General features: G+C 54.7%; 1 protein-coding gene across 7 annotated transcripts in view; it reads left to right on the forward strand.

Annotated features, from left to right (window-relative positions):
• The window catches only part of HDGFL2 (HDGF like 2), a 29,911-nt gene that overhangs the window by 9,417 nt on the left and 6,713 nt on the right, over positions 1 to 13,781 (forward strand). For 4 of the 7 annotated variants that reach the window (NM_001001520.3, NM_032631.4, NM_001348169.2 and 1 more), the window contains exons 4-9: positions 6,963 to 7,163; positions 9,853 to 9,969; positions 10,051 to 10,122; positions 11,990 to 12,149; positions 12,269 to 12,344; positions 12,453 to 12,762. In NM_001001520.3, coding sequence (NP_001001520.1) covers positions 6,963 to 7,163; positions 9,853 to 9,969; positions 10,051 to 10,122; positions 11,990 to 12,149; positions 12,269 to 12,344; positions 12,453 to 12,762 — 936 coding nt within the window. The remainder of the gene's footprint in view (positions 1 to 6,962; positions 7,164 to 9,852; positions 9,970 to 10,050; positions 10,123 to 11,989; positions 12,150 to 12,268; positions 12,345 to 12,452; positions 12,763 to 13,781) is intronic. The other 3 variants (XM_047439547.1, XM_047439548.1, XM_011528376.4) reach the window with 1 other exon arrangement.

Here is a 13,781-nt window from a genome sequence, read left to right on the forward strand (position 1 = left end):
CCCAAAGTGCTGGGATTACAGGCATGAGCCACCGTGCCCGGCCCTCAGTTTCCTCATCTAAAACAGAGGATTTGGTAGTGCTGACCCCTCAGCGGGCTCCTGGGAGAGTCCGGTGAGAAATTGCACATCGACACTTAGGAAGCGCTCACTGGATGGTGGAGGGGATATTTGGGAACAGAGAGGCAAAGCTGGATTTGACCTTCCCTTTTCCAATTTAGTCACACCCCCTGCCCTGATCCTCCAAGACAGCTACAGAAATGAGCTGTTCCCCTCACTCTCAGCCGGGGGGACTGGAAGTTGGCTGGCTTTGGCCTTTTTTTTTTTTTTTTTTTTTTTTGAGATGGAGTCTCGCTCTGTTGCCGAGGCTGGAGTGCAGTGGCGCGATCTCGGTTCACTGCAAGCTCCACCTCCCAGGTTCGCGCCATTCTCCTGCCTCAGCCTCCCACAGTGCTGGAATTACAAGTGTGGCTTACTGCGCCCTGGCCTTGTTTTTTCTTTCTTTCTTTTTTTTTTTGAGATGGAGTCTCGCTCTGTTGCCCAGGCTGGAGTGCAGTGGCATCATCTCGGCTCACTGCAAGCTCCACCTCCCAAGTTCAAGTGATTCTCCTGTCTCAGCCTCCCAAGTAGCCGGGACTACAGGCGCACATCACCACACCCAGCTAATTTTTGTATTTTTAGTAGAGATGGGGTTTCACCATATTGGCCAGGCTGATCTCGAACTCCTGACCTTATGATCCACCCCTATCGGCCTCCCCAAGTGCTGGGATTATAGGCGTGAGCCACCGTGCCCAGCCATTATTTTTTTCATAGAGACAGGCAACACTTTGTTGCCTAGGCTGGTCTTGAATTCCTGGGCTCAAGTGATCCTCCTTCCTTGGCCTCCCAATTTGCCGGGATTACAGGAGTAAACCACGGGCCCTGCTAAAGGAAAGATTTTTAATGAGGAGTGGCTATGACCCAGGCTTCGAGGCCAAGACCTGCTCGTGCTTTCATCTCAGATCTGCAGTTACTCGCTGTGTGATCCTGAGCTGTTACTTGACCTCTCCCTGCCTTTTTTCCTCATCTGCAGAATCAGGCTGGTCATGCCCACCGGTTACATGGGGCATTGATAAGTCCTATAACTGCCGGTGGCTCCTGGGTTCGTGGCACTCACCAGCTCCTCCTGTGGAAGATCCTGGGGCATCAGGGTTGGGTCAGGGGCGGGGCTGGGTGGAGGGAGCGACCAGGAAGGAGCCCGGGGCTCCTCATTCTCTGAGCTGCTACTCCCCACCCCCAGCGCTTGTCTCCTTACCAGGGATGCTCCAAAGAGAAACCCCAGGTACGCGAGCCCTTCCCCAAAGGCTCTGTGGAGAGGCGTGATCGAGATTGGCCGCGAGAGCGTTATTACTCTCAGCGTTCTCCGTTTGCGGCCTGACCTACTTAGTATTACCCTTTTTAATCTTGTCAAAAATTACACAGACAGGGCCCTGTCGCTTGGGCCACGAAGACACAAGGGAGACAAAACGTGCTCGGGCCGAGCGGTGACGCTTCACCACACCCGGTTCTCGTTTTCCTTGTGTGCTGATTGGGGGCCGCTAGCCTGCGGCTGTGCGCACGGAGGCTGGTGTGCGCCTGCTGTGGGCTCCCAGCCTCTCCTCCCGGCGCGGGAGGACCAGGCTAAGCCTGGAGGGAGCCGGGAAACTGAGGAAGGGCCGAGGTTCCCTCCTGTGGTTCCCTCCTCCTGGCCCCCCCTCTTGACCAGCGCTGACGCCCTCATTCCTCAGGCCATGCTTCCATTCTGTCCGGGCATTTCTACTCAGACGCTGGCCTCGCCTGCAGCATCCGCCCAGCCCTGCACCGTGTACTCCCTGCTCCCTCTTGCCCGGCCGCAACACCCGGTCACAAACGTGGGCCTTACTCTGCCTGTCCTTCCTGGCCTCGTCTCCCGCGAGCCCCGTGACATGCCTCTCACCCATTCTCACACCCTTATCTCCTCCACCTTGCTCTCTCCTGGACACCATGCGTGCCCCACTCCAGCCTGTCACACGCCATTTTGGTCATCACACCAGGAGAATGGGACTTAATTGTTTCATGATTTTTTTTTTTTTTTTTTTTTTGAGACAGTCTTGCTCTGTCTCCTAAGCTGGAGTGCAGTGACGCTATCTGGGCTCACTGCAACCTCTGCCTCTCGTGTTCAAGCGATTCTCCTGCCTCAGCCTCCTGAGTAGCTGGGACTACAGGCACCTGCCACCACGCCCAGCTAATTCTTTGTATTTTTAGTAGAGATGGAGTTTCATTGTGTTAGCCAGGATGGTCTTGATCTCCTGACCTCGTGATCTGCCTGCCTTGGCCTCCCAAAGTGTTGGGATTACAGGCGTGAGCCACTGCACCCGGCCTTTTTTTTTTTTTTTTTTTGAGACAGTGTCTGTCACCCAGGCTGGAGTGCAGTGGTGTGATTTCAGCTCACTGCAATCTCTGCCTCCCAGGTTCAAGTGATTCTCGTGCCTCAGCCTCCTCAGTAGCTGGGACTACAGGCGCCTGCCACCAGGCCCGGCTAATTTTTGTATTTTTAGTAGAGACAGCATTTGGCCATCTTGGCCAGGCTGGTCTCGAACTCCTGACCTCAGGTGATCCACCTGCCTCGGCCTACCAAAGTGCTGGGATTATAGGCGTGAGCCACCACGCCCGGCCTGTTTTATTATTATTTTTTTTCCCATCGAGATAACTTCACCATTTTAATCATTTAAGAGTATACCGTACAGTAGCTTCTAGTACATTCTCAGTGTACCATTCTTGCTAATTCCAGGATATTTTCTTTTTTTTTGAGACAGAGTCTTCGCTCTGTTGCCCAGGCTGGAGTGCAGTGGTGCGATCTCGGCTCACTGCAAGCTCCACCTCCCGGGTTCACACCATTCTCCTGCCTCAGCCTCCTGAGTAGATGGGACTACAGGCACCCGCCATCACGCCTGGCTAATTTTTTTTTTTTTTTTTTTTTTTGACACGGAGTCTTGCTCTGTCATCCAGGCTGGAGTGTAGTGGCACAATCTCAGCTCACTGCAAACTCCGCCTCCTGGGTTCACGCCATTCTCCTGCCTCAGCCTCCCGAGTTGCTGGGACTACAGGCACCCGCCACCATGCCCAGCTAATTTTTTGTATTTTTAGTAGAGGCGGGGTTTCACCATGTTAGCAAGGATGGTCTCGATCTCCTGACCTCGTGATCTGCCCGCCTCGGCCTCCCAAAGTGCTGGGATTACAGGCATGAGCCACCGTGCCCGGCCAATTTTTTGTATTTTTTAGTAGAGACAGGGTTTCACTGTGTTAGCCAGGATGGTCTCCATCTCCTGAGCTTATGATCCACCTGCCTTGGCCTCCCAAAGTGCTGGGATTACAGGCATGAGCCACTGCGCCTGGCCCAGGATATTTTCAACGCTTCACAAAGGAATCCTCTACCTGCTAGGTATCCCCCCAATTCTCTTCTCCCCTCAAGCCTCAGGCAACCATGGATCCACCTTCTATCTCTCTGGATGGGCCTGTCCTGGACATTTCATAGAAATGGAATCACACACTGTGTGGCCTTTTGTGTCTCACTTCTGTCAGCTGAGCGTGGCATCCTCAAGGTTCATCCATGCTGTGGCCTGGGTCAGAGCCTCGTTTCTTTTCATGGCCAAGTCATATTCTATCCTATTGTTATACCACGTTTGTTTATCAGTTAACGGACATTTGGGTTTTTTTCAGAGAATGTGGCTTTTAAAAATCTCAGTTTTGGCCAGGCGTGGTGGCTCACACCTGTAATCTCAGCACTTTGGGAGGCCGAGGTGGGTGGATCACGAGGTCAGGAGATTGAGACCATCCTGGCTAACACAGTGAAACCACGTCTCAACTAAAAAAATACAAAAAAAATTAGCCAGGCGTGGTGGCGGGTGCCTGTAGTCCCAGCTACTTGGGAGGCTGAGGCAGGAGAATGGCGTGAACCCAGCAGGCGGAGCTTGCAGTGAACCGAGATGGCACCACTGCCCTCCAGCCTGGGCGACAGAGCGAGACTCCGTCTCAAAAAAAAAAAAAATCTCAATCTCGTGGGGTGCGGTAGCTCACACCTGTAATCCCAGCAGCTTGGGAGGCCAAGGTGGGAGGATTGCTTAAGCCCAGGAGTTTGAGACCAGCCTGGGCAACATGGTGAAACCCCATGTCTACAAAAAAAAAATACAAAAACGTTAGCCAGGTGTGGTGGTGCAAACCTGTAGTTTCAGCTGCTCAGGAGGCTGAGGTGGGAGGATCACCTGAGCCCAGGAAGTTGAGGCTGCAGTGAGTCGTGATCGCGCCACTGCACTCCAGCCTGGGTGACAGAGTAAGACCCCGTCTCAAAAAAAAAAAAAAAAAAACAACAACCACGAAAACTCAATCTCTCTCTGTCTTCTTAAAAAAAAGCAGTTATTTAGAAAAGAAGTGACGGGCAATCACTCGGTCAGGTGTTCCACGCTGGCAAGGCTGGCCTGTGTGCTGCTTGGTGCCTGTGCTGGGAGCTGTGGCAGCACAGCTTGAGCTTGTTGTAACTGCGTGGACTTGTCTGTCTCCCCGGTAGACCATGAGCTCCCTGACAGCAGGGACTGCGTTTTAGCTGTTTCTATCCCCAGTGCCCAGCACAGAGCTGGGCACATAGCAGGTGTGTCATGATGTTTGTTGGAGGACCTAGCAGGTGTCTCATGATCATCACTGAATGAATGAGTAATGGGGCTGAGGCAGGAGAATTGCTTGAACCCGGGAGGCGGAGGTTATGGTGGGCCGAGATCATGCCATTGCACTCCAGCCTGGGCAACAAGAGCGAAATTCCATCTCAAAAAAAAAAAAAAAGGAAAAATCGCAATCTCTGCCAAGCACGGTGGCTCACTCCTGTAATCCCAGCACTTTGGGAGGCTGAGGCGGGTGGATCACGAGGTCAAGAGATTGAGATCATCCTGGTCAACATGGTGAAACCCTGTCTCTACTAAAAATACAAAAAATACACCTGGCGCTCATACATTTTCCTCCCACAAGCATGAGCCACCCACGGCCTAACTCTTCATCCTCCTCTTCACCATCTCCACCCGCTTCTCTGTGCCCCATATGGGTATATGTCAGCTTCTTCTGGTTCCCAAGGGGACCTTCACTGGTGCCATTCCTGCTCTCTGGAACGCCGCTAGCTCCTACCCCTTCCCATGCTTCTGACAACTCCTCTGTAAAAATGTCACATCCTCCGAGGGGCCTCCTCGATCACCCAGTGCTAAACACTCTCCTCTCTCTCTCTTTTTTTTTTTGAGACGGAGTCTCGCTCTGTCACCCAGGCAGGAGTGCAGTGGTGTGATCTCGGCTCACTGCAACCTCTGCTTCCTGGGTTCAAGCAATTCTCTGCCTCAGCCTCCCGAGTAGCTGGGATTACAGGCGCCCGCCACCACGCCTGGCTAATTTTTTTTGTATTTTTAGTAGAGACAGGGTTTCACCATCTTGGCCAGGCAGGTCTTAAACTCCTGACCTCGTGTTCCACCCACCGCGGCCTCCCAAAGTGCTGGAATGACAGGCGTGAGCCACCGCACCCGGGTTCTCTCTTACAAACGGGGTCTTGCTCTATCACTCAGTCTGGAGTGCAGTGGTGTGATCATAGCTCACTGAAACCTCTGCCTCCTAGGCTCAAGCGATCCTCCTGCCTCAGCCCCTTAAGCAGCTGGGACCGCAGGCCCACACCGCCACACCTTGCTAATATGTGCATCTTTTGTAGAGAGGGGGTTTCGCCATGTTGCCCAGGCTGGTCTTGAACTCCTGGGCTCAAGTGATCCTTCTGCCTTGGCCTCGCAAAGTGCTGGGATTACAGGCGTGAGCCACCAGCCCTACTCCCCTCTGAATCCTTACAACCATACGCCCGTGTTTTCTTCCTGCCTGTCACCACGATTTGGAATTGTCTGTGTTTAAATGGCAATGTTCAGGGTCTCCCGCTAGAAAACCAGCTCCCAGGGGCAAGGGAGATGCCACGGTCACTTCTGTGTTCTTGATGCCCCCGGCCCAGTGCCCGACACTCATGACTGCTCAGCAAACGTTGGCTCAGTGTGTGACCCGGTCACGTGCCTGGCACATAAGAAGCATCAGATAGGTGTTTGTGATTTCTGTGGCTGTCACTGCCTGAGCGGGCATTTTGAGTGTAGGAGAAATAGCAGTGCCTGGATGGTAGAAGCCCAGAGGTCTTGTCCTAGCTTGGCTTCTTCCTCCTGATAATTGAATGACTTAAAAAAAAAAAAAAGGAACCATTTCTTTTCTTTTTTTATTTTTTTGAGACAGAGTCTCACTCTGTTGCCCAGGCTGGAGTGCAGTGGCGTGATCTCGGCTCACTGCAACCTCCACCTCGTGGGTTCAAGTGATTCTCCTGCCTCGGCCTCCTGAGTAGCTGGGATTACAGGCGCCCACCACCACACCCATCTAATTTTTGTATTTTTAGTAGAGACAGGGTTTTGCCATGTTGGCCAGGTTGGTCTCGAACACCTGACCTCAGGTGATCTGCCTGCTGCAGCCTCCCAAAGTGCTGGGATTATAGGCGTGAGCCTCCGCGCCCGGCCAGGGCAGCCATTTCTGGACCTCTTGACATGGTCTCGGCACTGTCTTAGGTGCTCCACCTCCCACTTCCATGCTTTCCTGGTCACAGGCCTCTGAGGTCAAAACTGAGCCATCCCCATTGCCCAGAAGTGGTCACTGAAGCACAGAGGGTTGAAGTCATTTGCCCCAGGTTTAACCCTGAAGCCCGCGGCCCGACCCTAGTGCCCACCATACACGAATCCATCTCACTCTCCTGCCTTCGTTCTTCGGCTCTTCTGGGCCTCGGTTTCCCCATTTGTAAAGCCAGGAGACAACACGCCTGACATTCAGGATCCCGCATGTGGTTGCCGTCCTCTGGGTCATAGTCCTGATGGGGAAATCCACCCACGACTGGTGGTGACGCGCGTTCTCTGCCCCGACTCCCACAGCCAGTGAGCTCCTCCGACAGCGAGGCCCCCGAGGCCAACCCCGCCGACGGCAGTGACGCTGACGAGGACGATGAGGACCGGGGGGTCATGGCCGTCACAGCGGTAACCGCCACAGCTGCCAGCGACAGGATGGAGAGCGACTCAGACTCAGACAAGAGTAGCGACAACAGTGGCCTGAAGAGGAAGACGCCTGCGCTAAAGGTAGGGGAGGACCAAGGTGGGCTGGCCCTTCATCCCCTTGCCCTGATGTCTCGCCTGGCAGCTTGCTCTCCTGCCCTTTTTTTTTTTTTTTTTTTGAGACAAGGTCTTACTCTGTCGCCCAGGCTGGAGTGCAGTGGCGTGATCTCGACTCGCTGCAACCTCCGCCTCCCAGGTTCAAGCAATTCTTCTGCCTCAGCCTCCCTAGTAGCTGGGATTACAGGCACCTGCCACCGCACTTGGCTAATTTTTGTATTTTTGTTAGAGACGGGGATTCACCAGGTCCCCAAGTTGGTCTTGAACTCCTGACCTCAGGTGATCTGCCTGCCTCGGTCTCTCAAAGTGCTGGGATTACAGTCTTGAGCCACTGCGCCTGGCCACCTTTCTTTTTTTTTTTTTGAGATGGAGTTCCCTCTGTCACCCAGGCGGGAGTGCAGTGGCACGATCTTGGCTCACTGCACCCTCTGCCACTGGGTTCCAGCAATTATCCTGCCTGAGCCTCCCCAGTAGCTGGGATTATGGGCACCACCACCATATTTTTTTTTTTTTGAGACGGAGTCTCATTCTGTTGCCAGGCTGGAGTGCGGTGGCACGATCTCAGCTCACTGCAATCTCCACCTCCTGGGTTCAAGTGATTCCCCTGCTTCAGCCTCCGAAGTAGCTGAGATTACAGGCATCCACCACCACGCCCGGCTAATTTTTCGTATTTTAGTAGAGACAGGGTTTCACCATGTTGGCCAGGCTGGTCTTGATCTCCTGACCTCATGATCCGCCCGCTTCGGCCTCCCAAAGTGCTGGGATTACAGGCGTTAGCCATGGTGCCTGGCCTGGTCCCTTTCTTTAATATAATTGTTTTTCAGTATGCATTTAAAAAAAATTGAGTTATAGTCCATACACCATGAGATTCATCCTTCCTGAATATACACCTCAGTGGTTTTTAGTGTGTTCACGGAATTGTGCAACCATTACCATTATTCCAGGAGATTTCCGTCACCCCAAAAAGAAACCTGGTCCCCATCAGCTGATCCTCCGCATCCCCTCCTCTGGCCCCTGGCACCCACACATCCCCTTCCTGCCTCTGTGGAGGGGCCTGTCCTGGGCATTTCATAGAAATGGGGTCACACACTGCATAGCCTTTGTGTCCGCCTTCCTTCACCAAGCGTGACGTCCTCAGGGTGCATCCGCACTGCAGCCCGGGTCAGCTCCATTCGTTTCATTTATTTATTTATTTTGAGACGGACTCTAGTTCTGTCGCCCAGGCTGGAGTGCAATGGCATGATCTCTGCTCACTGCATCCTCCACCTCCCGGGTTCAAGCAATTCTTTTGCCTCAGCCTCCTGAGTAACTGGGATTACAGGGGCCCGCTACCACGTCCGGCTAATTTTGTGTTTTTGGTAGAGACGGGGTTTCTCCATGTTGGCCAGGCTGGTCTCGAACTCCTGACCTCCTGATCAGCCTGCCTCGGCCTCCCAGAGTGCTGGGATGACAGGCGTGAGCCACCGCGCCTGGCTGCCTCCCTTCCTTTTCCTGGCCGGGTCAGATTCCGGTGTGTGGAGGGAACACGGTGTGTTGATCCACATGTCGCTGGCCATTTGGGTTGTTTCCACTTTTGGGCCATTCCAGATCAGGCTGCCGTGAACGTTTCTGTACAGAGTTTTGTGCAGATGTGTGTGTTCCATTCTCCTGGGTATATTCTCTGTCCTGCCTTTTGACCATTTCTCACTATTTGGGTGTAGAAACAAAGGACCAGATTCTAGCAGCAAATTCTTTTGATAGAGTCACGTGTACTTTGTATTATTTTCTGATTCTAAAATGATAAGCCATATTTATAGTAGATAACTTGGAAAATGCAAAGAACAGAGAGAATTTGGAAAAAATACCTGTAGTATATGAGGGGTTTCTGAGCCAAGGAAGGATTATTTCTTTTTTTTCTCTTTTTTTTTTTTGGCGGGTGGGGGATGGAGTTTCACTCTTGTCACCCAGGCTGGAGTGTGATGGCGCAATCTCGGCTCACCGCAACCTCTGCCTCCCAGGTTCAAGCGATTATCCTGCCTCGGCCTCCTGTGTAGGTGGGATTACAGGCATACGCCACCACACCCAGCTAATTTTGTTTTTCAGTAGAGATGGGGTTTCTCCATGTTGGTCAGGCTGGTCTCAAACTCCCGACCTCAGGTGATCTGCTCGCCTCAGCCTCCCAAAGTGCTGGGATTACAGGTGTGAGCCACCGTGCCTGGCCAAAATTAGCCATTTTTAAGTGCCCCGTTCAGCAGCATTAAGCACATTCACGTGGTTGTGCAACCATCACCACCATCATCTCCAGAACTTTCTCGTCTTCCCAAGCTGAAATGCTGTCCCATGAAACACTCACTCCCACCACCCACCCCCCCACCCCCCCACCCCCCCACCCCCCCCGGCGCAGCCCTGGTGCCCCTCATCCTACTTTCTGTCTCTGTGAGTCTGATGGCCCTAGGGACCTCCTATAAGAGTTTGTCTTTTTGTGACTGGCTTCTTTCACCAAGCATAATGTCCTCAAGGTTCAAGATCCCTGGTTTGATCAGGTTCTCAGAGGGTTCCTGGCCCGCCAGAGAGGTTCCAGAGCTCAGCTGTCGTGGGTGGTGGGCAGTCAGCTGGGGGCTTCCTGCCAGGAGCCCGGCCTTCCCATCACTGAGCATTCAGGCCGTTCCCCTTCCAGATGTCGGTCTCGAAACGAGCCCGAAAGGCCTCCAGCGACCTGGATCAGGCCAGCGTGTCCCCATCCGAAGAGGAGAACTCGGAAAGCTCATCTGAGTCGGAGAAGACCAGCGACCAGGTGGGCCAGTGGCTCCTTGGGATGGCAGGGAAGCGTGGTGGCTGCCAGTGGGCCCCAGTTCAGCTCACTTCTCTCCCCCAGGACTTCACACCTGAGAAGAAAGCAGCGGTCCGGGCGCCACGGAGGGGCCCTCTGGGGGGACGGAAAAAAAAGGTAGCGTGCACTTGACTTTGTTTCCCATGCCCACTCGTGGGGCACCTCTGCGGTCTCCAGTGCTGTCCCCAGGGCAGGGCGGGCCATTTCTGGAGGGGGTGGGACACGGACTGCAGGGTACCCGAGGGGACCGCCTCTGCCCTGAGCGTGGCACCTCGTTATGGCCGCACTGCCTCCAGGAGCCCACCATCTGGTTTGGAAAGGGGCATTCTGGGATGCTGGCATCAGAAGGGAGGGAAGCAGTCCTGACGCGCCTGCATGAGAGTGAGAGAGTGAGAAAGCAAGAGCGCGAGAGGGACACAGAAGAGAGGAGAGAGGTGTGTGCCAGTGTGTATATGAGCGGATTGTGTGTGTGTGTTCTGTCTCTGTGCACGTGTGTCGACGTGCATGTGTGTGTGTGTACTTGTGTGTATGCATGTTTGTGACCATGTAGGTGTGTATGTGTGCAGTGTGTGTGTAGATTGTGCATGTGTGATGTGTGTGTCGTGTGTGCACATGTCGTGCCTGTGTGTGTGTTTCTGGTGCCTGTGTCCCTGTGCCTGTATGCCTGTGTGTGTGTGTGCTGTACCTCTCCTCTGCGTCTATGTGTTGTGCCTCTGTGTTCCTATGTGAGTATATGTGGTGCCTGTGTGTGTGCCTGTGTGTCCATGTGTGCATACTGTTCATGTATCTATGTGTCTGTGTTTGTGTGTCTGTGTGTGGTGTCTGTGTTGTGTGTGTTTGTGTGTCTGGTGTGTCCATGTGTATGGTTTGTGGTATGTGTGTTGTCTGTGTGTTATCTGTGTATGGTGTGTGTTTTGTTTGTGTGTGTTGTCTGTGTGGTGTGTGTGTCTGGTATGTGTGTTGTCTGTGGTGTGTGGTATGTGTTGTCTGTGTGTGGTGTGTGGTGTGTGTGGTGTATGTGTGTTGGGTGTTTGTGTGTCTGGTGTGTCTGTGTCTATGGTGTGTCTGGTGTGTGTTTCTGGTCTGTGTGTTATGTGTGGTCTGTGTGTGTTATCTGTGTGGTGTGTGTGTTGTCTGTGTGTGTGTGGTGTGTGTGGTGTGGTGTGTGTTATCTGTGGTGTGTGTGTGGTGTCTGTGTGGTGTGTATCTGTGTGTGTGGTGTGTGTGTGTGGTGCGTGTGAGTTGTCTGTGGTGTGTGGTGTCTGTGTGTAGTGTGTGTGTGGTTGTGTGTGGTGCGTGTGTGTTATCTGTGTGTGGTGTGTGGTATCTGTGTGGTGTGTGTGTTGTCTGTGTGTGGTGTGTGTGTGTTATCTGTGTGGTGTGTGGTGTGTGTGTTGTCTGTGTGTGGTGTGTGTGTTATCTGTGTCTGTGTGGTGTGTGTTGTCTGTGTGTGGTGTGTGCGTGGTGTGTGTGTTGTCTGTGTCTGTGCGGTGTGTGTGGTGTGGTGTGTGGTATCTGTGTGGTATGTGTGTTGTCTGTGTGTGTGTGTGGTGTGTGTGTTGTCTGTGTGTGGTGTGTGTGTGGTGTGTGTGTGGTGTCTGTGTGTGGCGTGTGTGTTTGGCAGGGTACTCGGGTGGAGGCGGTAGAGCACGGCAGCTTGTCTGATGTGGCCTCCGCACAAGATTTTGCATAAAGAAAAAGATGTCCCCACTGGGAAACCCGGGCTTCTGATGTACCCGGTTCACTGAGGAAGATGAGGGGAAGGGCCAGCAGCTGCCCGGCGTGCCCAGGGCCGCCTGGGATCCCGGTTTTCACTTGGGGTGGAGGTGGGTTTTGTGGGTGGGAGGGGATTCGGAGCCGGGCCCTGAGCCGAGGCCCGCAGAGCCTGGCGGCTGCAGGGGTGCGGGAGCCTCCTCTGGCCTGGTGCGCCCCGCTTCTCACGGTGGGGCTCCTGATGCTCACGCCTGTCCCTGCTTCTCCCCAGAAGGCGCCATCAGCCTCCGACTCCGACTCCAAGGCCGATTCGGACGGGGCCAAGCCTGAGCCGGTGGCCATGGCGCGGTCGGCGTCCTCCTCCTCCTCTTCCTCCTCCTCCTCCGACTCCGATGTGTCTGTGAAGAAGCCTCCGAGGGGCAGGAAGCCAGGTAGGGCCCTCGTGCTCGCACATCTCTTGGCCTGGCCCCTGCCGGGGCGCTCCCAGGCAGTCCCCTGGTCACCTTGGAGCCCTGGAAGGGAAGGTCACCCCCTCCTCCTCTTCCTGTAGCGGAGAAGCCTCTCCCGAAGCCGCGAGGGCGGAAACCGAAGCCTGAACGGCCTCCGTCCAGCTCCAGCAGTGACAGGTGGGTGCTGGGGCTGGGGTCCCCTCTGGCGGCTCCTCCATCGGCTGAGGGGCAGGGCGGGCTCCTGAGGGAGGAACGGAGGTCCCCAACCGCCCCCTCCGCCTCCAGTGACAGCGACGAGGTGGACCGCATCAGTGAGTGGAAGCGGCGGGACGAGGCGCGGAGGCGCGAGCTGGAGGCCCGGCGGCGGCGAGAGCAGGAGGAGGAGCTGCGGCGCCTGCGGGAGCAGGAGAAGGAGGAGAAGGAGCGGAGGCGCGAGCGGGCCGACCGCGGGGAGGCTGAGCGGGGCAGCGGCGGCAGCAGCGGGGACGAGCTCAGGGAGGACGATGAGCCCGTCAAGAAGCGGGGACGCAAGGGCCGGGGCCGGGGTCCCCCGTCCTCCTCTGACTCCGAGCCCGAGGCCGAGCTGGAGAGAGAGGTGAGCCGGGAGGGCGCCGGGAGTCCCTGCCTTCACTCCACACGTTTATGGAGCATCTACTAGGTAGGAGGCAGTATCCCAGGTTCCGGGACCCATCAAGAAAGCAGTGCGTGGGCCCAGAAACTCCTGCCCTGGAGGAGGGGACATTCATGGGAGGGAGGGGGCCGGGCTTGGTGGCTCACGCCTGTTATCCCAGCACTTTGGGCAGCTGAAGTGGGACGATTACTTGAGTCCAGCTCGAGACCAGCCTGGGCAAGATAGAGAGACCCTGTCTCTATAAAAACCTTAAAAAATTAGCTGGGCGTGGTGGTGTGCGCCTGTATAGTCCCGGCTGCTCAGGAGGCTGAGGCAGGAGGATTGCTTGAGCCCAGGAGTTGGAGGCTGCAGTGAGCTGTCATCAATCCACTGCACTCCAGCCTGGGCCACACAGCAAGACCCTGTCTCAAAACAAAACAAAGGAGGGAGGAGCTGTACAGATGACATGAGGGTAGTGCGTGCTGTCCGGAGTTTTCGGTGCTAAGGAGAAGAGTAAAGTGGGGTGGGGGGTTTCTCTTTTAAATAGAGTAGACCCTGAAGGTGTGAGTAGACTCCAAAGGCTTGCGTTTGGGTTTAAGTAAAAGGCTCCGAATGGGCTGGGCGCAGTGGCTCACGCCTGTAATCCCAGCACTCTGGGAGGCCAAGGCGGGTGGATCACGAGGTGAGGAGATCAAGACCAGCCTGGCTAACACGGTGAAACCCTGTCTCTACTAAAAATACAAAAAAATTAGCCAGGCGTTGTGGCAGGTGCCTGTAGTCCCAGCTACTCAGGAGGCTGAGGCAGGAGAATGGTGTGAACCTGGGAGGCAGAGGTTGCAGCGAGCCAAGATTGTGCCACTGCACTCCAGCCTGGGCCAGAGCGAGACTCCATCTCAAAAAAAAAAAAAAAAAAAAAAAATAGGCTCCGAATGAAGGGAGGGGATCTACGAAGACTCCTGGGAGGGGATACATTCTAGGCAGGAGAAGCAGCTCACACACAGGCC

The sequence above is a fragment of the Homo sapiens genome, chromosome 19 (genome assembly GCF_000001405.40).
Source record: "Homo sapiens chromosome 19, GRCh38.p14 Primary Assembly".
In the NCBI taxonomy this organism is placed as follows: Eukaryota; Metazoa; Chordata; class Mammalia; order Primates; family Hominidae; genus Homo; species Homo sapiens.